This window comes from Homo sapiens, chromosome 1 (assembly GCF_000001405.40).
Source record: "Homo sapiens chromosome 1, GRCh38.p14 Primary Assembly".
In the NCBI taxonomy this organism is placed as follows: Eukaryota; Metazoa; Chordata; class Mammalia; order Primates; family Hominidae; genus Homo; species Homo sapiens.
Genome location: NC_000001.11, coordinates 37,489,793 through 37,515,118, shown reverse-complemented (window position 1 = coordinate 37,515,118; position 25,326 = coordinate 37,489,793). Strand labels below are relative to the sequence as shown.

General features: G+C 43.2%; 1 protein-coding gene and 1 non-coding gene across 9 annotated transcripts, besides 1 other annotated feature; both read left to right on the top strand.

Moving 5' to 3' along the window:
- Positions 169–768: a silencer, noted in NCBI's record as "silent region_672". NCBI's record gives its function as "represses an Ori minimal core promoter by ATAC-STARR-seq in GM12878 lymphoblastoid cells {active_cell/tissue: GM12878}" and the evidence as "EXISTENCE:reporter gene assay evidence [ECO:0000049][PMID:35858748]".
- Positions 353–25,126, top strand: MEAF6 (MYST/Esa1 associated factor 6). 8 transcript variants are annotated; one of them, NR_073090.3, is made up of 9 exons: positions 353–462; positions 1,581–1,696; positions 5,577–5,664; positions 5,796–5,841; positions 13,123–13,315; positions 18,383–18,412; positions 18,515–18,572; positions 19,201–19,234; positions 21,012–25,126. NR_073090.3 is itself a non-coding variant. In NM_022756.7 (8 exons), exons 1-8 carry the CDS (start codon positions 373–375, stop codon positions 21,018–21,020), a joined length of 606 nt encoding a protein of 201 aa, NP_073593.2. In that variant the 5' UTR covers positions 353–372; the 3' UTR covers positions 21,021–25,126. The 8 variants fall into 8 exon arrangements, 5 of the variants coding, with proteins under 5 accessions (NP_073593.2, XP_047283998.1, NP_001257804.1 ...); NR_073092.3 differs by lacking the exon at positions 18,515–18,572 and adding an exon at positions 9,898–9,986; NR_073091.3 differs by lacking the exon at positions 18,383–18,412.
- On the top strand, positions 14,125–14,184 carry MIR5581 (microRNA 5581). The gene has a single exon (NR_049844.1). It is a non-coding gene; the product is annotated as a microRNA 5581 (primary transcript).
- Positions 25,127–25,326: the final 200 nt, after the last annotated feature.

Sequence of the window (25,326 nt, the reverse complement as noted above, 5' to 3'; positions counted from 1 at the left end):
TGCAGAGTGAGGAAAACCGCGTTTCTGACGCAGGCAATTCGGTGGATAGTGAAAGTCATTCACTGAAGTGGACTGAAGCGGGGCGCACAGGAGACTCGGAGGCCTGAGGACGAGCTAGGCTTTGGACGCGGTGGATTTGTGGCGTCTGTAAAGCCGGCGGCCAGCCGAGGGGCAGGAAACGGCAGAAAGCAGAAGCCGCATCTCTAGAGCTCTCCGAGAAGGACCTTCGAGAGCCCCGGCCTTAGCGAAGCTCGGCACGGCGCTGCACGCGTCTCCGGAAGCCGCGCGCGCAGGCGCAGAGCGGGGGGGCGCCCCCTGGCGGCGCAGGGACCGCCCCCAACCTCGCGCCGCCGCCGCCCGCCTCAGCCCAACATGGCGATGCACAACAAGGCGGCGCCGCCGCAGATCCCGGACACCCGGCGGGAGCTGGCGGAGCTCGTGAAGCGGAAGCAGGAGCTGGCGGTGAGGGGCTAGGACAGGGGTTGCACGGCATGGGGCTCCGCGCCCGCCCCGCCTCCAGGCCCCAAGCCCGGCCGCGCTAGGCCGTTTGTTACTCCGGGGGCGCGGCGCGGCGGGCCGGGTGCTCGGCGGCCTGAGGCCGGGTGCGCATTCTGCGGCCCGCCGGCGGTTCAGCTTCCCGGCTGTGCGAATCCGGAGCCGGGAGAGAGCCGGGAGCGCGGGAGGGGGAGGGGAAGCGGCAGCCGCAGGAGGGGGCGTGGAGGGAGGACGGTGCCGGGGCCCGGGGAGAGGGCGCTAGGAAGGGCGAGCGTCAGTGAGCCGCGGGGGTGGGCGAGGCGGGCTAGTCCGTGATCTTTGCGGGGAGGGGGTGGGGAAGGAGGCTAGTGTGGGAGGGGGACCCAGTCACCCCGTCTGGACTTTGGAGGCTGGTGGGGAGCGTGTTCTTTTTGGTACTGGGAGTAGATCCGTTGAATGGAGGTTTTTGATAGACAGGGTTGTGATGTGTTTGGGAACATCTAGAAGGTGACAGGCGAGGGAGAAGAACACATTCCGGAGAATTCAGAATTGTGACAGGCACCCAAGGCCCAATGCACTCTGGTGGCTAAGCTCTTCCTGCCCCCGCGTCTCGGCTTGGGCACCCGGGAGGCCCCTCTCACCTGAAGCTGCCCTTCTAGGTTTCCATAGCAACTGGCAGCCCGGTGTCGGCGGCCTCTCTTGAGCCTGCGGGGAGGGGAGCGAGTTGACGCTGAAAGGCTGCTCACCTTTCCCTCTCCTGGTAGCGATACCTTTTGTGCGTGGGAGTGGACATCGCCCAAGTTCTGCGTTAGCCTGGGCTCTTGACTCATGGTTTCCGTGAATCCTCTAAAGTATATGCAAAATTTCGCGTGTGTGTGTATTTTTCTGGAGACATGCTTTATACATTCAGGGGTCCATCACCCCCAAAGGTCTAGACTGTCTTAGTCCTAAACGGCTCCTCCTCCCCGTATCTTCCATCTCTCCACAGGGTGGTTTAGTGTGGGCAAGCTTGCGTTTACGAGTCTAATATCAGGATTTCATTTTGGCCAGACTTAAGTGTTTGCATTTAAAAGGTATCATTCATGTCCTTGTTTTTCATCTCTCAGGAAACATTGGCAAATTTGGAGCGACAGATCTATGCTTTTGAGGGAAGCTACCTGGAAGACACTCAGATGTATGGCAATATTATTCGTGGCTGGGATCGGTATCTGACCAACCAAAAGTGAGTGTCGAAAGCCTGTAGTGTTCCTATTGTGCCCTAGTAACGTTTGTTTTTAGGACTGTATGCTCTTAGTGGCAACTTTGCTGGAGGCAGTAGTAAAGTAGTGGTGTGATCTGGACTTGAACTCTTGGACTCTGGCTCAGGCACTGCCTCACCGAATAATCTTAGACAAGGCTCACATCTGTAAAATAGCGAAAGTTGGGCCTATGGCACAGGGTTGTGTGAGGCTTAAATACAGTATCTTTATACAATAGCATTCTATTAAATTTTTTACACATTTTAATCAGTCATGAGTTCTACCCTCACAGTATTTTTCTTTTCTTTTTTTCTTTTTCCTCCTGAGTAGCTGGGATTACAGGTGCGTGCCACCATGCCTGGCTAATTTTTTTATTTTTAGTAGAGACGAGGTTTCTCCATGTTGGCCTGGCTGGTCTCGAACTCCTGACCTCAGGTGATCTGCTGCCTTGGCCTCCCAAAGTGTTGGGATTACAGGTGTGAGCCACCACGCCTGGCCACTTTTCTTTTTTCTAAGAGACAGGGTCTCACGCTGTTGTCCAGGCTGGAGTGCAGTAGCACGAACTTAGCTCACTGCAGCCTCAGACTCCTGGGCTGAAGTGATCCTCCCACCTCAGCCTCCCAATTAGCTGGGACTACAGGCACACCATACTGTACCTGACTAATTAAAAACTTTTTTTTGTAGAAGTGGGATCTCACTTTGTTGCTCAGGCAGGCCTGGAACTCCTGGTTTCAAGCAGTCCTCCTGCCTCAGCTTCTCAAAGTGTTGGAATTAAAGGGGTGAGCCACCACGCCCAACTGACCCTCACAATTTTTGCCATACCTGTGTGCCAGCTGTACCACTGCTTACTTAGTAATATTATTTTTAAAAAATTTCTAAACTTTTAGAAAATCTTCAAATTATAGGAAAATGGGAAGAATAGTATATGAACACTTGATACCCTCCTACCTATATTCACAAATTGTTAATGTGTTGTGACATTTGCTTTCTCTTACTTTCTATAATATATATTAATATAAGCACACATCTATATTTACATTTCACATTTTTAAATTGTGAAATAATTATAGATTCATAGGGAGTTGGCAGAATGGTCTCTTGTACCCTTCATCTGGTTTTCCCCAATGGTTGTGTTTTATGTAGCTATAATACAGTATCAAAGCCAGAAAATTGACATTGGTACAATGTATATATATAGTTCTGTGTCACTTTATCTTGTGTGTAGATTCATGTAACCACAATGAAGTTACTGAACTATTCCATTACCACAAAGATCTTCCTCATGCCACTCCTTTGTAGTTATATCTCCCAGTCCCCCTACCTTTTTTTCCCACTTAACGGTTTGAAAGTTAGATGCAGGTAAATGACACTTTGCACCTAAATGTGTCAGTAATTACCTCCTGAGTATAGGGCCATTTCTTCTACCTAACCAGTTATTATACCTAGAAAATCAATACTGCATTAATAGTATCTAATACATAGTCTTTATTAAAATTTCCTCAATTGTCCCCAAAAATTCTTTGCTAATTTGTTTTGATCCAGGATTCAGTAAGCATTCATGCATGCATTTGGCTATTATGTCTTAAGATTGAGGAGAGTCACCCTTTTGGTGGTGGTTGTGGTGGTATTCATGACATTGCCTTGTAGAATGTTGCAGTTTCCTGAGATTTTCTGAGGGCAAAACTCATGACTGATTAAAAGGGTCCTGAAAGATCCTTTAAACATTTTTGCAAAAATCTTACATAGGCAATTGGTGTATCCTTTGTTATCTATCTCTAGTTTATCAGGAGGCACATAATGTCACATTGTCCTATTATTTGTTGCTGCTAAGTTTGATCATATGATTTATCTGCTATAAAAGTTCATTTTTTCCCATTGTGATTAACAAGTAATTTTGGATGTTATGCTTTGAGACATTATGAATATACTGCTCCCTCTAAATTTGTATTCAGTTGTTTAGTATACACCGTTGATTCTTATCTGAATCCGTTAGTACACTGGAAGTTGTAAAATAGTGATTCTCTAATTGTATTATTCCCTTTATATTTATTACTGGCATTCTGAAAAAGAGTCTTCCTTTTTTGACTTCTGTTTCTTTCATTCTCCCACATTTGTCCCAGCTGTGGTCAGAGGGAGCCTCCTCAAGCTGGCTTGTTTGTCGTTTCAACATGACCCTATTACTTTTGGAGTACTCCATTGCTTTCTGGCCTAAGAGATGTCCCATACTTACCTTTTGCATTTTTTGTCCCAGACCTGGTATCAGCCATTCCTCTAAGGAACCCTGGTTCTTTCTTTAAATTTGAGAATTAAGTTTATTTAAGAGACACTTCATATCACTAATCTGTTCTCCACTTTTTAAATAATAAGCATTAAAATAAATATATATTGGCCGGGCATAGTGGCTCACGCCTGTAATCTCAGCACTTTGGGAGGCCGAGGCGAGTGGATCACCTGAGGTTGGGAGTTCAAGACTAGCCTGACCAACATGGAGAAACTGTCTCTACTAAAAGTACAAAATTAGCCGGACGTGGTGGCACATGCCTGTAATCCCAGCTACTTGGGAGGCTGAGGCAGGAGAATCGCTTGAACTCGGGAGGCAGAGGTTGCAGTGAGCCGAGCTCGCGCCATTGCAGTCCAGCCTGGGCAACAAGAGTGAAACTCCGTCTCAAAAAAATATATAAATAAGTAAATAAGGTAAAATAGATACGTATTAAAATGAAAGTGTGGCCAGGCACAGTGGCTCACACCTGTAATCCCAGCACTTTGGAAGGCCAAGGTGAGTGTATCACTTGAGGTCTGGAGTTTGAGACCAGCCTGGCCAATATGGTGAAACCCTGTCTCTACTAAAAATACAAAAATTAGCCGGGCATGGTGGGGTGCGCCTGTAGTCCCAGCTACTTCAGAGGCTGAGGCAGGATAATCACTTGAACGCAGAAGGTGGAGATTGCAGTGACCCTGGATCGCACCACTGCACTCCAGTCTGGGAGACAGAGTGAGACTCTCAAAAAAAAAAAAAAAAAAAAAATGGCTAGGTGCAGTGGCTCATGCCTGTAATCCCAGCACTTTGGTAGGCTGAGGTGGGCAGATCATGAGGTCAGGAGTTCGAGACCAGCCAGGCCAATTTGGTGAAATCCCGTCTCTACTAAAGATACAAAAAAAGAATTAGCTGGGTGTGGTGGCACGTGCCTGTAATCCCAGGCTACTCTGGAGGCTGAGGCAGGAGAATCGTCTGAACCTGGGAGGTAGAGGTTGCAGCGAGCTGAGATTTCCCATTGTACTGCAGCCTGGGTGACAGGGCGAGACTGCGTCTCAAAAAAAAAAAAAAAAAATGTCTGGGCGCGGTGGCTCATGCCTGTAATCCCAGCATTTTAGGAGGCTGATGTGGGTAGATCACCTGAGGTCAGGAGTTCAAGACCAGCCTGACCAACATGGCAAAACCCCGTCTCTACTAAAAATACAAAAATTTGCCAGGTATGGTGGTGGGCACCTGTAATCCTGGCTACTTGGGAGGCTGAGGCAGGAGAATCGCTTCAACCCAAGGGGCAGAGGTTGCAATGAGCTGAGATTCTGCCATTGCACTCCAGCGTAGGCGACAGAGCAAGACTCCGTCTCAATAAATAAATAAATAAGTAAATAAATAAATAAATTTAAAAAATGAACATGTGAAGCAACTAAATCTCATGTCTCACAGTGGGACATGTACCATATATTGGAAAACGTTGCTTTCTGTGTTCAGCATAAAGGTCGTTTGGGCCAGTCTGAGTGACATGGAAGCTTCCTGCATGGAACATGAGTCCTGGGGCATCCCCAGCTTGAGCCATAGACATAGCTTGGTGCTCATAATGAGTTTCTTCTGTGTTTTAGAAACTCCAATAGCAAAAATGATCGAAGGAACCGGAAGTTTAAGGAAGCTGAGCGGCTCTTCAGTAAATCCTCGGTTACCTCAGCAGCTGTAAGTAGTGGTGGTGGGGGAATCTTTCTTTGGCCTGTTGTTGGGGAATGTGTTTTTTCTTTACCTTCCTCTGGGAGTGCTCTTCTGAGGTCTGTGGTCACTTTTCTAGTAACTGGTGGCTTTTCTTTTAGGCAGTAAGTGCATTGGCAGGAGTTCAGGACCAGCTCATTGAAAAGAGTAAGTTGATGTTTTTATGTTTCTCATCAGTTTATTTTTAAGCTACCATCACCCTTACACTTAATTCATCCAATTGTGTATCTGAGGACTGCATTTCTTATGCTCTTCCCTTTTCCCTCTTCTTCCTGGAAGTTTTGAAACTTTTAGGGTATCCTTAATCATGTTTTTCTCCACTCCCCGACCCAGACAAGGTCTCACTATAGCCCAAGCTGGAGTACAGTGGCATGATCATAGTTCGCTGCAGCCTCAAACTCCTAGGCTCAAGCAGTCCTCCTGCCTCGGCCTCCCAAGTAGCTAGGACCACAGGCATCTGTCACCACACCTGGCTAATTTTTAAATTTTTTAAAGAGACAGAGTCTCACTATGTTGCCCAGGCTAGTCCATAATTCCTGGCATCAAATAATCCTCCCACTTGAGCCTCCCAAAGTGTTGGGAGTAGAGGTGTGAGCCACCATTTGTGAACAATCGTATTTTTTCCTTTTGAGGAAGAAATTACTGTACTCTTCTTGCCTCTTCTGTCACATGAAGATTGGCTTTAGCATCTCAAAGAGACAAAGATATATTTCATTACTGATAAATCTTATAAATTCTTAGGGAATTAAAGTTAAAACAATAACTTTTATGGAAAATTTCAAATATATCTTATAAATCCCCATGTACCCAATTTAATAATTCTTAGAAAATGTTCATCTTGGCCCAGTGCAGTGGCTCACACCTGTAATCCCTGCACTTTGGAATGGAGAGGTGGGAGGATTGCTTGAGCCCACAAGTTCAAGTTCAAGACCAGCCTAGTCAACAAAGCAAGACTCTGTCTCTACAAAAAATTAAAAAATTAGCCAGGCTTGGTGGCATATGCCTGTAGTCCCAGCTATTAGAGAGGCTGAGGTGAGAGGATCACTTTAGCCCAGGAAGTTGAGGCTGCAATGAGCCATGATCGTGTCACTGCTCCAGCCTGGGTGACAAAGTGAGACCATGCCAAAAAAAAAAAAAAAAAAAAAAAAAAGAAATGCTCATCCTGTAAATAGGATGTACCTGTATGTTCTTAAGTATAAAATGGAAAATAGTGCTATTTACTCTGTAAACGAATTATATCTTATTTTTTATACATAAGCCATACAGTCTAATTTCCAGGGATGGGTTATAGATTTGTGCATTTATCTTTCTGAGTCAGACTCAGTGTAACCATATTGGATGTTCTCTCTGTGTATTTCATCACCTTGAAATACGACCTGTTCTCGGTATTACTGTGTACTTCTTTCAGAAGGTATATCTTGTTGTTGGATCTAGTTCTTTTGTTGGCATTGGTACAATGATATGAGGAAAAGGGATTTTAGTAGTTTGGGAATTAGAAGTATTTAATTATTATCTCTATGTACAGATTTCTAAATTTGTTTCTCTGCCCTTAACCTCTTTCCTGGCTTTACTTCTGCATTTCGTCTTTTTTTTTTTTTTTAAGACGGAGTCTCGCTCTGTTGCCTAGGCTGGAGTGCAGTGGCACGATTTTGACTCACTGCAACCTCCGCTTTCTAGGGGCCTCCCAAAGTGCTGGGATTACAGGCATGAGCCACTGCGCCCGGCCTGAATCCTGCATTTCCTTCTAGACATTTCCACTCATAATCACTCAAATATTTGATCTAAAACAGAATTGTTCTGTTTCCTTCAGAATTTGTCTTCACAGATTTTTTGTGATGGTACTTCACTTCTCCCTTATTCAGAACTCTGTAGACGTCTTTGACTCCTTTCTGCCAGCCTCATCAATTATACCAAGTCCTTTTGATTTTTCTTTTACTATGACTCTCCACTAAATCTTTTTTTTTTTTTTTTAAATCTTACTTCTTTTTAATTAATGCCACTCTAGAATGTAGAGCTAAACTGGTTAAGGAACACCCTGGACCTCACTCCTGTGAGTTGAGATGGAATGATATCTGACTTAGTTTTCTTTCTTTTTTTTTTTTTTGAGGCAGAGTTTTGCTTTTGTTACCCAGGCTGGAGTGCAATGGCGTGATCTCGGCTCACTGCCACCTCCGCCTCCCAAGTTCAAGCAATTCTCCTGCCTCAGCCTCCCAAGTAGCTGGGATTACAGGTGTGCATCACCATGCCCAGCTAATTTTTGTATTATTGGCAGAGATGGGGTCTCACAATGTTGGCCAGGCTGATCTTGAACTCCTGACCTCAGGTGATCCATCTGCCTTTGCCTCCCAAATTGCTGGGATTACAGGCGTGAGCCACAGGGCCCGGCCCTGACTTAGTTTTCACATGAGCCTGTAATCTTGCCCTGGCTTAGCTGATCATTCAGTATATGGCTGTTTACCTGTCTACCTGCAAGAATAAGCTGCACCCAGGTACTTGTCAGGGAAAGACTCAAGTTACTGCTTTCAGAAGCTTGGCTAAGACAAACACTTATGTATTAAAGATTTTTGGCTGAGTGCAGTGGCTGGCTCATACTTTTGGGAAGCCAATAGTCCCAGCTACTCAGGAGGCTGAGATGGGAGGATTGCTTGAGCCCAGGAGTTCAAGGCTGTAGTGAGCCATGACACTCCAGCCTGAGTGACAGAGTGAGACCTTGTCAAAACAAAACAAAACAAAAACCTGAAAAGGCTGGCGAGATGGCTCACACTTAAAATTCCAGCACTTTGGGAGGCCGAGGTGAGAGGATCTCTTGAGCCCTGGAGTTCAAGACCAGACTAGGGAACATAGTGGACCCTATCTCTACCAAAAACAAAACAAAACAAAACAAAAGTAGCTGGACGTGGTGGCACACACCTGTAGCCCCAGTGATTCAGGAGGCTGAGGGAGAAGGATCACTTGAACCCAGGAGGTCAAGGCTGCAGTGATTGTGCCACTGCTCTGTACTCTAGCCTGGGCGACAGTAAGACCCTATCTCAAAAAAATAAAAATTAAAAAAATTATAGTCCAATTTATATATTTGTTTTTGTTAGATTTTCTTTTTTGGTCATATCTGAGAAACCATTGCCTAACCTAGTGGCATCTAAGTTTTTTTTTTTTTGAGACGGAGTCTCGCTTTATTGCCCAGGCTGGAGTGCAGTGGCACTATCTTGGCTCACCACAACCTCCACCTCCTGGGTTCAAGAGATTCTCTTGCCTCAGCCTCTCGAGTAGCTGGGACGACAGGCACGCGCCACCATGCCCAGCTAATTTTTGTATTTTTAGTAGAGAATGGGTTTCACTCTGTTAGCCAGGCTGGTCTTGAACTCCTGACCTCGTGATCCGCCCACCTTGGCCTCCCAAAGTGCTGGGATTACAGGCTTGAGCCACTGCGCCCGGCCAGGCATCTAAGATTTTTAGTTTTAGCTCTTACATTTATGTCTGTGATCCATTTTGAGTTAATTTTTGTGTATGTTGTGAGATGGGGGTACAGCTTCATTGTTTTGCATGTGAATATCTAGTTGTTCCAGCACCATTTGTTGAAAAGACTTTCTTTCTTCATTGAATTGTCTTGTCACCCTTGTTGAAAATCAGTTGACTGTAAATATAAGGGTTCATCCTGGGACTCTGAATTCTAGTCCCCTGATTTATACGTTGATACCAGTACCACACAGTGTTGATTACTGCAGCTTTGTGTAGCATGTTGTTTTTTTAGTGTGAAATCAGTTTTCTTGAACATCAGAAGGGCAGTATTGGCCAGTATACTTTTTGTATAATAGCTTCATAGCTCTAGGCAGGGAGTCCAATCTTTTGGTTTCTCTGGGCCACATTGGAAGAAGAATTTTCTAGGGCCACACATAAAATATACTAACACTATAGCTGATGAGCTAAGAACAAAAAATCACAAAAAAATCTCACAGTGTTTTAAGAAAGTTTACAAATTTGTGTTGGGCCATATTCAAAGCCGTCCTGGGCTGCTTGCGGCCCATGGGCCTTGGGTGGGACATGCTTGCTCTAGAGTTTCCTTTTCTGTTGCTTTCCTAAAATGTGTTCAAATTAGGGTTTCATGTTTTCTGAGATTTGGCTATTTCTCTCTTCTGCTTTTTTGGAACTGTCTCTTTCCTTTACTTCTTGTACCCGTATGCTACTCAATTTAAATTCTCTTCCTAGCAGATTATAATATGAAGACCATAGAAAGAAGAAAACTGGGCCAGATACGGTGGCTCATGCCTATAATCCCAGAACTTTGGGAGCCCAAGGTGGGTGGATCACCTGAGGTCAGGAGTTTGAGACTAGCCTGGCCAACATGGCAAAACCCCGTCTTTACTAAAAATACAAAAATGAGCCGGGCATGGTGGTGGGTGCCTGTAATCCCAGTTACTTGGGAGGCTGAGGCAGGGGAACCGTTTGAACCAGGGAGGTGGAGATGGCAGTGAGCCAAGATCGCGCCACTGTACTCCAGCCTGGGCGTGACACAGCAAGACTCTGTCTCAAAAAAGAAGAAAACTGGTCCCTTGGTTCTGCTACCACATGACCTTTTTTGACAAGTTTTAGAAATAGATAATGTGTGTGTGTGTGTGTGTGTGTGTGTATATAAATTTTTTTTTTTTTTTTTTTTTGAGATGGAGTCTTGCTCTTGTTGCCCAGGCTGGAGTGCAGTGGCGCCATCTTGGCTCACTGCAACCTCCACCTCCCGGGTTCAAGTGATTCTTCTGTCTCAGCCTCCCAAGTAGCTGGGATTACAAGTGCTCACCACCATGCCCGGCTAATTTTTTGTATTTTTAGTAGAGGTGGGGTCTTACCATGTTGGCCAGGCTGGTCTCCGACTCCTGACCTCAGATGATCCACTTGTGTCGGCTTTCCAGAGTGCTGGGATTACAGACATGAGCCACTGTGCTCGGCCAGATAATGTATATATTTAGGATCCTTCAACAGTTGAGTAAAGTGAAAGTCTTCCCTCACTCATCCTTACCTATTAAAAGTTTAAAGAAATTCCTTTCAGGAAAAATAAGTATATATATAAAGGAAATACAAATATACCTGTATTAATCTGTTTTCACACTGCTATAAAGAAATATCTGAGACTGGGTAATTTATAAAGGAAAGATGTTTAATTGACTCACAGTTCTACATGGCTGGGGAGGCCTCAGGAAACTTACAATCATGGAGGAAGGTGAAGGGGAAGCAAGCACCTTCTTCACAAGGCAGTAGGAGAGAGAACACGCATGAAGGAAGAACTTCTAAACACTTCTAAAACCATCAGTTCTTGTGAGAACTCCCTCACTATCACAGGAATAGCATGGGGAAAACCACCCCCATGATCCAGTCACCTCCCACCAGCTCTCTCCCTCAACATGTGAGGATTACAATTCGAGTTGAGATTTAGGTAGGGACACAGAGCCAAACCATACCAATAACTATATTCTTTTTTTTGAGATGGAGTCTCGTTCTGTCACCCAGAGCGATCTCGGCTTATGCAATCTTGGCTCATGCAATCTCCACTTCCTGGGTTCAAGCAATTCTCCCTGCCTCAGCCTTGAATAGCTGGGATTACAGGCGCCTGCCGCCACACCTGGTTAATTTTTGTGTTAGTAGAGATGAGGTTTTGCCGTGCTGACCAGGCTGGTCTTGAACTCCTGACCTCAGGTGATCCACCCACCTCGGCCTCCCAAAGTGCTGGGATTACAGGCATGAGCCACTGTGTGCAGCCTTTTTTTTTTTTTTTTTTTTTTTGAGACAGTCTTGCTCTGTTGCCCAGGCTAGAGTGCATTGCAGTGGTAAGATCATAGCTCACTGCAGCCTCAAACTTATGGGCTGAAGTGATCCTCCCACCTCAGCTTCCTGAACAGCTGAGACTCCAGGCATGTGCCACCATGTCTGGCTAATTTTTAATTTTTGTTTTTATAGAGATGAGGGTCTGGCTGTGTTGTCCAAGCTGGTCTTGAACATTTGGCCTCAAGCCATCCTCCTGCCTCAGCCTCCCAGAGCACTGGGATTGCAGGCATGAGATACTGTGCCTAATCTATAGTCTTAAAAATATATATGTTTATACAAGTTGTTATTGAGCTTGCTTTTATTAAGGTAATCTACAGTGATGTTTTAAAATTGAGAATATGTGTCAGCTGAAGATTATTACTGCATTTTAAAAGTATTCTTAGCAGAATGCGTGGCTCATGCCTGTAATCTCAGCAGTTTGGGAGGTTGAAGCAGGAGGACTGCTTAAGCCCAGGAGTTTGAGACCAGCCTGGGCAACATAGTAAGACCCCATCTTTAAAAAAAAAAGTATCCAAGTGTGGTGGCATGTGCCGGTAGTTCCAGCTACTGGGGAGGCTGAGATGGGAGGATAATTTGAACCCAGGAGTTTGAGGCTGCCATGAGCTATGATCACACCAGTTCACACCAGTGCACTCTAGCCTGGGTGACAGAGTGAGATCTTGTCTCGAAATAAAATGAAATAAAATAAAACTTACCAGGCTGGGTGTGGTGGCTCATGCCTGTAATCTCAGCACTTTGGAAGGCTGAGGCAGGTGGATCTCTTGAGCCTAGGAGTTCAAGACCAGCCTGGGCAACATGGCAAAACCACATCTCTACAAAAAATAGAAAAATTAGCAGGGCTTATGCTTATGGGCACCTGCAGTCCCAGCTACTTGGGAGGCTGAGGTGTAAGGATCATCTGAGCCCAGGAACTGAAGGCTGCTGTGAACAGAGATTCCACCACTGCACTCCAGCCTAGGTGACAGAGTGAGACCCTGTCTTAAAAAAAAAAAAAAAAAAAAGACTTACGAGGTTCAAGTTCAACAGAGCTTAAAGGTTAAACAAACAAACAAAAAAAAAACAAGAAAAAACAATGGAAAACTTATCAGAGTAATTCAGGAATGGGCTGTCTTCTCCCTCTTTGGCCCCCCCTTTTTTTTTGTACAGTCACTGTAGTTTTTTTTGTACATCACTGTAGATTACATTTAATAAAAGCAAACTCAATAACAACTTGTGTAAACATATATATTTTTAAGACTATAGATCAGGCACAGTATCTCATGCCTGTGATCCCAGTGCTCTGGGAGGCTGAGGCAGGAGGATGGTTTGAGGCCAAGTGTTCAAGACCAGCTTGGACAACACAGCCAGACTCTCATCTCTATAAAAACAAAAACTGCCCTTAGAGCTGTTCTCTCTGGTTACATTGTTTCAGATTACATGCTTTTTCAGGACCTTTGGTCACTTGGATCCTTTGTATGTATCTTCTCTGTCAACATGTATCTTCTCTGTCAACATGTATCTTCTCTGTCAATTAGAGGATAGGGAATGGTTTTTTTCTACCTATTAGTGTTCATGTTGATGGACAGATTGCCTGAGGAGTACTGATGATGCATTTGGAAACTTGTGTTTTATTTCCTTCAGGGGAGCCAGGAAGTGGGACGGAAAGTGACACTTCTCCAGACTTCCACAATCAGGAAAATGAGCCCAGCCAGGAGGACCCTGAGGATCTGGATGGATCTGTGCAGGGAGTGAAACCTCAGAAGGCTGCTTCTTCTACTTCCTCAGGGAGTCACCACAGCAGCCATAAAAAGCGAAAGAATAAAAACCGGCACAGGTCAGTGGCAGGGATCCCACCCCCGCAGCTCCCATGACCATTGCTGTGAAGGGAATTGCCTAGAATAAAAACTCTTTAGGATTGCTGCAGACTCTTTCTGTTGCTGATGGCAAGAAAGTCATTAGGTCCAAGTGAACGGGCTAATTTGCTCAAAGGGAGGAATTGGTGGGCATTAGAGTAACCCTCAAGGAAGACTCCAGGACATTCTTCTCACTGTTTCTAGTGTAGAATAGTTTTATTCCATAAAAACCTTGTTTCATATGGTGAATATGGAATACTTTTAGAAGAGGAAAAGGAGAAATAGAAATGGAATCTGTGTAATAGTATTTGAAAAATGCCACTGGTACTTATTGGGAAGCTGTAAAGTGGGATAAAGTCTTCTGCTGGTAATTCTGATCTTTGCCTACTCTTATTTCTTTGTGGATGGAGAGAACTGATTTGACATGCCTTTTTTTCTCTTTAAATACAAGTTTTTTTTATTGCTTGTGATTTTTCTGTTTCTGTATTTCTCAGCAATATGCTGACTTCAGATACTGGAGGAACAGTATAAAGCCTGTAAAATATGAGAGTGTCTTCATAGGTAACGTGTAACATTGGTGCACCATGTTTTTTTGCAGTACATAATGAGATAGGAATGACGTCAGTGGACAGAGAGGCCAGGTGTCACCCAGAGAGGGTTTCAGCATTCACTCTGCCTGGGGTTTGTATGATCATGCTGGGGATTGTTAACTCAGATAATTGGAAATTATGCAGCTTGACCTAAAGAGTATAATGTCCGGTTTCTAGAGTAAGGAGTTTTGCTGGCCTCAAGCCTTCCAGGAGAAATGGAGACCCTATACATACCTGTTTCCATGCCTCCTAGAAGTTCCGAAGCCAGGGTAAGAGTTCTCATTCTAGAAACTGTACATTCGTTCTACTCCTCCTGGAAGACTGCGTGCTGAGCAGGTGAAAGGGGGCAATGCAAGGGATGGGTGGCATTCCCTGTTCTCCAGTTTGCTTCTGGATTTGGTTTACAAATCTGTAGGGTATTCCTTCATGCACCCAAGGTATTAAACTTGTTAGCTTCATGGATATGACAGTGCCTGGGGGTAATGTAGGATTAACTCTACCTGATTTGAACCTCCTTGATTGGCGTCAGCTGGTTCTTCAATTATTTTAAGAGTTTTTCTTGTTGATGGTAATGGTGTTTTCTAGACTGCAGAAATAGTATTTCCTTCAAATAATGACTGAGGACTGCTGCTTAACATTTTTCTGCAAACCAGAAGTCACCATCCTAATCGCATAACTGTAGTAAGAATTAGCAAAAATTGTATATCTACCTCTTCATATATTTTTGAAAGGCTATAGGTTATTTGACCAACTGTAGTAAGACTGGTGCTAGCTTATCACGAATAACAGAGAAATATATTCTTAAAAATTTTTTTAATTGTCAAGATAATTAAATGTCATGCTCTGTATTGCTTTTATTAAATTTACTCCAGTGTCATTTTTTTTTAATTTTTTATTTTTTTCAGACAGTCTTGCTCTGTCACCCAGGCTGGAGTGCAGTGGCACGATCTCAGCCCCTGCAGCCTCTGCTTCCTGGGTTCAAACGATTCTCCTGCCTCAGCCTCCTGAGTAGCTGGGATTACAGGCGTGCACCACTGTGCCCAGCTAATTTTTGTATTTTTAGTAGAGACACGTTTCACTGTGTTGGTGTGAACTACTGGCCTCAGGTGATCCACCTGCCTCGGCCTCCCAAAGTGCTGGGATTACTGGCATGAGCCACGGTGTCTGGCCTAGTGTCATTTTAAAGTAGTGATTATTTTCTTATTTCATAGTGTCTAGAGTAGGGAGGAAACTCTTTGAAAGTTTCGGGGACTTTTTCCCATTACTGATTAATAGTCTGTAGATAGCTGTTTATTTCAGGTAGTTCTTCATTTCCACTAATGATGTTATTAGCTGGTGACTGATAAAAAGGAGTTAAAGAGGAGCTAAACTTCATTTTCTTCTTGCAAGTTTCTAGCACATTTCCATAGGAACAATACTTCTTCCTATCCTAGGAGCTATCTCCTTCCAGAAAAATAGTAGTAGTTGTAAAAATCTTCGATATTAGTTACTGCTTCGCAAATAGTGTTTTCTGTTTGGAAAGCAGAATCCTGCTTTTTATTGCTGTCCTTTTGTCTTCCCTCTGATTTAATATCTGGCTGATCTCCCTTGGCCTTAGGCACTCATCTGCCCCAAGAAAGGAGAGTGAAGCTGATTTGTTTCCTTTCTAGGGAAGCAAAATTCAGTGTGCCTGAATGGCACACGAGCGGTCAGTTAAGGCTCTTGGACTCCTGCCATCTTTAGTCAGGAATTGTGTCTGCTCCAAGTCCCTTACTACTGCTGACTGATATCTCAGTAGGGCTGGCAGATTGGGGTGGGGACAGAGCATGGTGTCTATGTACATTGTTAAGTTTGTACCCAGTATAGTACATGTTTATCCTCCAGTGTGCCATACCCCATATAGTGAGATGAGTCAATAATAAATTATTTCAGCAAATGTTTGAGTACTTACTGTGTGCCAGACACTGTTTAGTGGTGAGCAAAGGTGGAAATAAATATGGCACTTAAGCAAAAGGAAATAACTTGAATTTGCCCTCTTCAGGAATATGAAATTTTTTTTTTTCTTGAAACAAGGTCTTGCTGGATTGCCCAGGCTGGAGTGCAGTGGTGAGATCATGGGTCATTGCAGCTTTGACCTCCTGGGCTCAGGCAATCCTCCCACCTCATCCTCCTAAGTAGCTGGGAGTACAGGCATGTGCCACCATGCCTAGCTAGTTTCTGTATTGTTTTGTAGAGATGGGGTTTTGCCATGCTGCACAGGCTGGTCTTGAACTCCTAGGCTTGATCCTCCTGCCTCGGCCTCCCAAAGTGCTGGGTTTACAGGCATGAACCACACCACACCCCGCCAGAATATAAAAATTTATCAAATAATTTTTAGCATCCATAAGTGATCACATTGTTCTGAATTCTTATATTTTACATGATACCTGAACAGTATGTCATTCCTGGTATCTTTAAAGAAAAAGTTGAAATAATACCATATAGTGGCCAGGTGCTGTGGCTCATACCTGTAATTCCAGCAATTTGGGAGGCTGAGGTGGAGGGATCACTTGAGTCTAGGAGTTCGAGACCAGCCGGGGGCAACATGGCGAGACTCCCGTCTCTACAAAAAAACACAGTAATTAACTGGACGTGATGGCATGCCTGTAGTCTCAGCTACTTGGAAAGATGAGATGAGGCTGGAGGATTGCTTGAGCCCAGGAGGTTGAAGCTTCAGTGAGCTACTGCACTTCATCCTGGGTGACAGAGGAAGACCCTGTCTCAGTAATAGTAATAATAATAATAATAATAATAATAATAATAATAAAAAATAACATAGCTACTCTTATAAGTTTCTGTTACTATAAAAAATTACTTTAGATAGTCTGTAAAGTTTTGATTAACTAGATACAGTCTATTTTGATTTGTGAACAAAGTCAAGTCAGGCTGAAAGTGAAATATTTGATAATTCCTAGTTTCATACACCTACTGTATACTCTCCCAAATGTCTAAAGTGAAACTATTTTGTGAGAGATATTGACATTAAGCTTTCTTCCAGCTTTACTCTTGCAAACATTGTCTAGGAGGAAATGTAGCCATTTGCATATTGTTTTAGCACCTAAATGTAGCCATTTGCTTATTGTTTTAGTCTGGAAGGTGTTGGAGCCGGTGAAGGAGCAGGTGTCATGCTCCAGGTTAATGTTTGCTTTGGAGGCCTGCCCAGATCATGGCCTGCTAGTGGTGATGGCACAAAATGGTCTCCTTCTCTGTACTGCTCCTTCCAGATCCCTGAGACTTGGGTGCTTGTGGATGGCAGCTTTCCCTTGTTTTAATAGGGGTGCTGCAGGCTGGGTGCAGTGGCTCATGCCTGTAATCCCAGCACTTTAGGGGGCCGAGGCAGATGGATCACCTGAGGTCAGGAGTTCGAGACCAGCTTGGCCAACATGGTGAAACCCTGTCTCTACTAAAAATACAAAAATTAGCTGGACCTAGTGGCAGGCGCCTGTAATCCCAGCTGCTAGGGAGGCTGAGACAGGAGAATCGTTTGAACCCAGGAGGCGGAGGTTACAGTGAGCCAAGATTGCGCCATTGCACTCCAGCCTGGGTGACAAGAGCAAAACTCTGTCTCAAAAAATAAATAAATAAATAAATAAATAAATACGGGTGCTGCAGACTTTTGTGTTTCTTAATTATAGCCCTGATATAGACAGTTAATTGCCATCACCTACTTAGGTGGCAGAGCAATACTGTTCTTCATTTTCTGGAACAAGGTTCCACCACTGAAGTTTATTCATTCAACTTTGGGCTTTTAGGATGAATGCTGTAGAAAAGGAGCATGGTGTTCCCTGGACATGTTTAGAACATATAACTTGAGGGAGGCTGAGGCAGGAGAATGGCGTGAACCCGGGAGGCAGAGCTTGCAGTGAGCCAAGATCGCCGCCCCTGCACTCCAGCCTGGGTGCCAGAGCGAGACTCCGTTTCAAACAAACAAACAAACAAACAAACAAACCCATATAACTTGAGTAAAAATTTGTGAAATGTTTTCCTTTTTTAAAGTTTAGACTGTGTTGTAGTTTTTTATTTTAGTGAAAGTATATTATGCTGAGTTGTTAGCACTCTCTTCAAAGTGCCTTTCATTATATAACTAAACCTTTCTTTCTCTGTTTCTTCTAATGCCCTAATTATATTTTTCAATACAATTAAATATTTTAAAAGTTCTAACTCCGAATTTGGCAGCTAATAAAAGGGCTCCAGGTGTCTGAGTTTTCTAATGAAATAACTTTTTCTTTCATAGTCTAGTCTTCTGATATGAAATCCATTGAAGGAAGGGAATCTTCTGACCACAAAATCTTTGGTGCTTTGATGTTTGATACTTTGTTGCTTAAGATTCTTAAAGCTGATTTTGTTTCTACAATTCTTGCTAGGGTGGCTAATCGACTAATTTATTCAATTAGTATATTAATTTCTATTGCTTTCTTCCTTTCAAATGCTGCCCCTCAGCCCGTCTGGCATGTTTGATTATGACTTTGAGTAAGTTTGATTTGAATTAGTATTTGTGCTGTGTTTAGTGTGTAGACACCAGTATGCCTTTTTGAGACCTTTCTAACCCATAGTTTATCTGTTTAATTGTAGGTATGTATATTAGGTTAGGCTGGGAAGTTTTTTTTAAAAACAGAAAAACGTGATGGAGGTAACATTTTATTTAATAACTTAAGCAAAATTAAGTAAACTTCACTTTTATGCATTTTAATTTCTTTTAAAATAGATAACCTTTACTTTAACTCATATTTAAATTGATTTTCTGGCTTTGCTTCATAAGGAGAATAATAGCTTAAGATCTTGATATTTTGCTTTGGAAAGATTTAAAAATTGAAATTAATTTAATTTATTTTGTGTTTCGTGTTCAGAAATACAAACTCCTAGTCTCTTTCCTGTTGTTAATCACCATGTGTCTCAGTAATTTTCAGTGATATAGTTACAGAACTAACACATTAACATAGAGCATGCCCTCTTACTTCAGTCTTTTTAACATGTAGTTTTGGAATTGTTTTAAAATTATATGGCTTTTGTAGCTGCTGTATACATTTCTTTTTAGAGTCAGCTAAGTTTGCCTTAGGGCAAAAATGTGTGCTCATAATTTTTAATACTTGCTTGATAATATCTGGGTAAACAACTAAATATGACATAGTCTAATGAAGAATGTGGATTTTTCTTAACCAAATAGTCTTTGTTATAGCTTATGCCCTATGCAGTAGCTGATTGTGGGACCCATTTTCTGTAAATTAAAATGGAAATATCTTTTATCTTTTCTGTCACAGGATTGATCTGAAGTTAAACAAAAAACCACGAGCTGTAAGTATCAGCCGGACCACTTCAGAGAGGCTGGCAATTTTGTAGATGATTAGAAAAATGTATTTGTCTTCAGAGCTTGAGTGTTCCTAACCTGGAGTCATAACTCTTGATTTAAAGTCTGGGGTGTCCATCTGGATATACTTCAACTTTTAGGTGGTTTTTTTGTTTTTTTTTTTTTTTGTTTTTTGTTTTTTTTTTTTGAGAGACAGTTTCTTGCTCTTTCACCTAGGCTAGAGTGCAGTATCATCACAGTCACAGTTCACTGTGGCCTTGACCTCCTGTGCTTGGCCTCCCGAGTAGCTGGGAATACAGGTACATGCCACCTTGCCTGGCTAATTTTTGTATTTTTTGTAGATATGGGGTTTCACCATGATGTCCAGTCTGGAACTCCTGGACTTAAGCAATCCTCCTACCCCAGCCTCCCAAAGTGTTGGGATTACAGGTGTGAGCCAACGTGCCTGGCCTATGGTTTTTGTATTTTAAGGAGAGAAAGAGGTCACATACTTTATTTATTTATTTATTTATTTATTTATTTATTTATTTATTTATTTTTTGAGACGGAGTCTTGCTCTGTTGCCCAGGCTGGAGTGCAGTGGTGCAATCTTGGCTCACTGCAACCTCCGCCTCCCAGGTTCAAGTGATTCTCCTGCTTCAGCCTCCTGAGTAGCTGGGATTACAGTGCGTGCCACCATGCCCAGCTAGTTTTTGTATTTTAGTAGAGACAGGGTTTCACCATGTTGGTCATGCTGGTCTCAAACTCCTGACCTCGTGATCCACCCGCCTCAGCCTCCCAAAGTGCTGGGATTACAGGCGTGAGCCACCGCACCCGGCCGGTCACATACATTTTTAATGATGAAAAATTCCCTTTAATTAAATAATAAATTGTTAATACTAGCTCTTTTTTTTTTTGGACTGGTGAATTCAGGTGCTCTAATAAGAGCAAAATTGATGTTTCAATCCCTTTATGGACTCAGAAGGCAGACCATTTTCAGATGTGAAATATTGTACATTATATTTGGAATAGAATCTTTTTTTAAATTTTTTTTTTGTGTGTGTGACAGGGTCTGGCTCTGTCACCCAGGCTAGAGTGCAATGGTGTGATCTTGGCTCACTGCAACCTCTGCCTCCCAGGCTCAAGCCGTCCTCCCACCTCAGACTCCTGGGTAGCTGAGACCACAGGCATGAGCCACCACACCTGGCTAATTTTTGTGTTTTTTGTAGAGACATGGTCTTAATTTGTTACCCAGGCTGGTCTCGAGCTCCTGACCTCAAGTGATCTGCCCGCCTGGGCCTCCCTAAGTGCTGGGATTATAGGCCTGAGCCACCACGCCTGGCCTGAAATACAATCTTTTTTTTTTTTTTTTTTTTTGAAACAGAGTTTCACTCTTGTCACCCAGGCTGGAGTGCAATGGCGCGATCTTGGCTCACTGCAACCTCCGCCTTCCAGGTTCAAGCGATTCTCCCACCTCAGCCTCCTGAGTAGCTGGAATTACAGGTGCCCACCACCATGTCTGGCCAATGTTTTGTATTTTTAGTAGAGACGGGGTTTCACTATGCTGGCCAGGCTGGTCTCGAACTCCTGACCTCGTGATCTCCCTGCCTCGGCTTCCCAAAGTGCTGGGATTACAGGTGTGAGCCACTGTGCCTGGCCTGAAATATAATCTTTAGCTATAGAGCAGTCCCCTAGTAGAGTTGTTTATGAGATTTTTTTTTTCCTTTAGGGTCAAACAACTGTTCTGCCGAGAGTAAGTTGGGACTTTTGTTTTTCTTTCTTTAGGACTATTAGAAGACACATTAGTGCAGAAGCTTCCAGGCTGTAGAGCCCTGCTTCCCTTCTCTGACCTCACAAAGATAAACATCCTTCACCTGAGTTCGTGGCCATCCACCTCTGCTCTCCCAGACCCAGTGCCTGTGACTTTGAGTAGTTTGTTCTAAATGTGGTGACAAACAAGTCATTTCTGTAAGACATTGGGTCTTACTTTATGTCATTTTTAGTAACAGAACTGCAGGAAGATGAAGACAATGTTGTAATCCCAGCAAGTTGCTAACTGTGCGTTTCTCCCTTCTTAGAATGAATGTCTCCCCCAAAACTGGCTGGCACCAGCTTCATCTGTGATACCCTTCAAGAAATGTTCTCTGGTTTTGTTTTATGCTGAAAGTAGAACACAAGTCACATTTCAGATGGAGGCTGTAAATATCTGGCATTTTCTTATATTGTTTTATGTTTTCTTGTTTTTCTCTTGTTGTTTTTATCTTATTTTCTTTGGGGTTTTTTTGTAATGCCTTTGTACAGCTCATACTTTCCTGCTGACATATCTGATCATCTCTTTCATGCAGTTGCCAATATTCATAACTGAAAATAATCTGGTTTATCATAAGTAAAATGGGAAACTTGCCTCTGTTTTTTGCAAGGGGAGGTAAAGAGTGTTTAGTAATTACCTATCTTAAATCTTTCTGAGTTGGTAGTAGATTCATGTTCAAGGAACAGGAAAAATGGAAAAACATAAGTTTAAATCAGTTCTTTTTAAATAACTTTTTATTCTTTTGTATAAATAAAATTTCACAGGCTTCAAATTCTCATGCTTTACTTTTAAACCCGAGATTGTTTTTTCACTTATTTATTCATATCATGCCTTATGGAAATTTCTTTTTCTGTATTTTCTCTCTTTGCTGGTATTCACCTGATTAAATATTGCTCTAAAAATCACCATGGCATATGGAAAGTCTCAAAATTATACCAAAAGTGATAACTTATGTCGTTCTTAAGTGGAGTGAAAGGATAGCATCAGTGAGAGCCAGTGTTGCCCACCAGGTCTCCCTTTCTTGGAGGGCTTGTTGGGGCTGAGGAATCTGCTAGTAATCGTTACCTGCCTCTAGTGCTGTGGTGAACTTGCGACAGGGTCTGGCTGCACATTGGAATCACCTGAGAAGCTTTAAAATACTCATGCCTGGATCCCATCCCTAGAGACTGGGGTACAGCCTAGTTATTGGGAATTTCTTTAAAAGAGTTCCTGGGATTCTGATAAGAAGCCAGGTTGAGAACCACTACATTAGAAGACTGAATGGTTTAATTTACATCCTATGTTATGATTGGTCTAAGGGATAAGATTTGGGGTCTAACCTTTCCTTTCACTCTAGTTAGTCATAGTCCTTGACTTATGCCTATATCTTTGTAAGAAATAGTATGTTTCATTTGTGATAGTATTGGTAGGGCTGAATATGGATGGCATCTACTGTAAAACAAGTCTACCTTGTCAGATGTGCAAAAGCTTTCACTCTTGTTCTCAAATAAACTTTTGTGGGTTTTTTTTTTTTTTTTTTTTTGACTCTGGCTATTTAGATCTTTGACTGTGTCTTTGGTAGCAGAACTCCAGTGTCAGGATTTTTAAGGAAATAGTTTCTTATATTTAGATTATTCCTTAAAAAAAAAAATCCTAGAAGCATTCTGTATTTTTTGTCTGTTGGTCTCCTTTGCTGGGAGGGAGGAGTGGGATGCCTACAGTTTCCTTCCTTTTGGGGAAAGCACACAGCAGACCTTAAAATATTTTTGACTCTTGGGCTGGGTGCGGTGGCTCACACCTGTAATCCCAGCACTTTGGGAGGCCGAAGCGGGCGGATCACGAGGTCAGGAGATCGAGACCATCCTGGCGAACACAGTGAAACCCCATCTCTACTAAAAATGCAAAAAATTAGCTGAGCGTGGTGGCGGGTGCCGGTAGTCCCAGCTACTCGGGAGGCTGAGGCAGGAGAATGGCATGAACCTGGGAGGCGGAGCTTACAGTGAGCTGAGATAGTGCCACTGCACTCCAGCCTGGGCGACAGAGCGAGACTCCATCTCAAAAAAAAAAAATATTTTTGACTCTTAACAGTTTGAGATTGCTAGAGATGGAATAGTACTGCTCTGTTGCGCCACTGCACTCCAGCAGCCTGGGCGACAGAGCGAGACTCTGTCAAAAAAAAAAAAAAAAAGAAAGAATAGTACTGCTCTTAAAAAGATTATTTACGTATTTATGAAACTGCAGTGGGATGCCTAGTTTCCTTCCCTCTGAGGAAAGCACACAGCAGACCTTAAAATATTTTTGACTCTCATAGTTTGACATTGCTGGAGACAGAATAGTACTGCTCTTAAAAAGATTATTTAAGTATTTATATATTTTATTTATTTATTTATTTATTTATTTATTTATTGACAGGATCTTGCTCTGTCACCCAGGCTGGAGTGCAGCGGCCTGATCAAAGCTCAGTGCAGCCTCGAACTTCTGGGGTCAAGCCATCTTCCTGCTTCAGCCTTACTAGTACCTGGGACTATAGGTGCATGCCACCATTCCCAGCTAATTTAAAACATTTTTATTTTGTAATGATGGCTTCTTGCTATGTTGCCCAGGCTGGCCTCAAGCAGTCCTCCTGGCCTCAAGCAGTCCTTCTGCCTTGGCCTCCCAAAGTGCTGGGATTATAGGTATCAAGCAATTCTCCTGCCTCAGCCTCCCCAGTAGCTGGGACTACAGGCATGCACCACCATGCCCATCTAAGTTTTGTATTTTTAGTGGAGATGGGGTTTTGCCATGATGGGCAGGCTGGTCTCGAACTCCTGACCTCAGGTAATCCACCCACCTCAGCCTCCCAAAGTGCTGGGATTACAGGCATGAGCCCTGGCACCTGGCAATATAGAGTATTCTTGACATCTTGACCTGTGCAGTAAAGAAGATAATTAAAATGAGCGATAAATAGTCTAAGCTTGAAAGTTAAAGAGCCTAAGCTTGAAACACTCTGTGACTTAGTTTTTGCATTTATTCTGTCTTCTATGCCCCCCAACCTTACTCCAAATTAATGAGGCATTATTTTATTTATTTATTTTTTTGAGACAGAGTCTTGCTCTGTCGTCCAGGCTGGAGTGCAGTGGCACAATCTTGGCTCACTGCTACCTCCGCCTCCAGGGTTCAAGCAATTATTCCGCCTCAGCCTCTCGAGTAGCTGAGACTACAGGCGCGTGCTACCACACCCAGCTAGTTTTTTTTTATTTTCAATAGAGACCGGGTTTCACCATATTGGCCAGGCTGGACTCAAACTCCTGACTTCGTAATCCACCTGCCTCAGCCTCCCAAAGTGCTAGGATTACAGGCGTGAGCCACTGCACCCGGCCTAATGAGGCATTATTGCTTAAAAATTCACATCAAGCTGGGCATGGTGATATGCACCTTTAGTCCCAGCTGCTTGGGAGGCTTAGAGGCAGCAGGATCGCTTGAAGCCAGAAGTTCAAGGCTACAGTATGCTATGATCATTTCTGTGAATGGCCACTGCACTTCAGCCTGAGTAACGTAGCAAGACGCTGTCTCCAACAGAAAATTGACATCTGAAGCCTTGACTACAGGGGGACTATACTGGTTTATGTGAAGTGTGGGGAGAGAGCAGGATTGTGCTTCTTTGTACACATTTGCTTCTCCCAGGATAGTGTCATAGTGCCTAGGAAGGTGATGTGTGTGTCAGATACAATGATAGTGAAAAGAAGGGATTGGAATTTTCATACCTGTGTCAGTCTAAATGAGCATTACCTTGTCTGAATTGTCTAAGTGGTAAGCTTCGTGATTTGAAACAGTTTTCACTTTGAAAAACTGCTTCCGTGGATTAAAAGTTGTCACCACTAAAGTGGGCTGTGGTGGAGTCGATGCTGATCCTCACTTAGGGCAGTGGCCTCCAAGGGGAAGAGGGCACACAGGATGGCTGGGTGGGGGTGGGAAGAAAAGATTAGGCCTTTGATTTATATTCATTTTGAGGCTCAGCCTTATTTAGTTTCTCACTTTGGATGTATTTTATATATATACATCAAATATACATCAATATTAGTTCATTAGTACATGTAGGTCATTAATTTATAAATAAAAGGTTGAACCACAATAAACTGCTGATAATTGTTTTTGATCTGTAAAAGTGGCAGTTATCATAGTTTAACAGCATATACATGTTGGAGGTGTATATGCTTCAAGTTTTTACTGTTTGTGTACAGAAAATAAACTTTGGAGACCCCTAGCCCCCTCCTCAGCTCCCAACCCCCACCCTGATAACTTATTTCTGTATCCTGGGTGTGGGGATGGGAG

Bases quoted from the DNA above. Each gene is read 5' to 3' on its own strand.
- MEAF6 (NM_022756.7), top strand. From the start codon at position 373: ATGGCGATGCACAACAAGGCGGCGCCGCCGCAGATCCCGGACACCCGG. The intron at 5,842-13,122 runs GTAAGTTGATGT...TATTTCCTTCAG, and splicing joins GGACCAGCTCATTGAAAAGA to GGGAGCCAGGAAGTGGGACG. The intron at 18,413-19,200 runs GTAAGTTTGATT...TTTCTGTCACAG, and splicing joins ATGTTTGATTATGACTTTGA to GATTGATCTGAAGTTAAACA.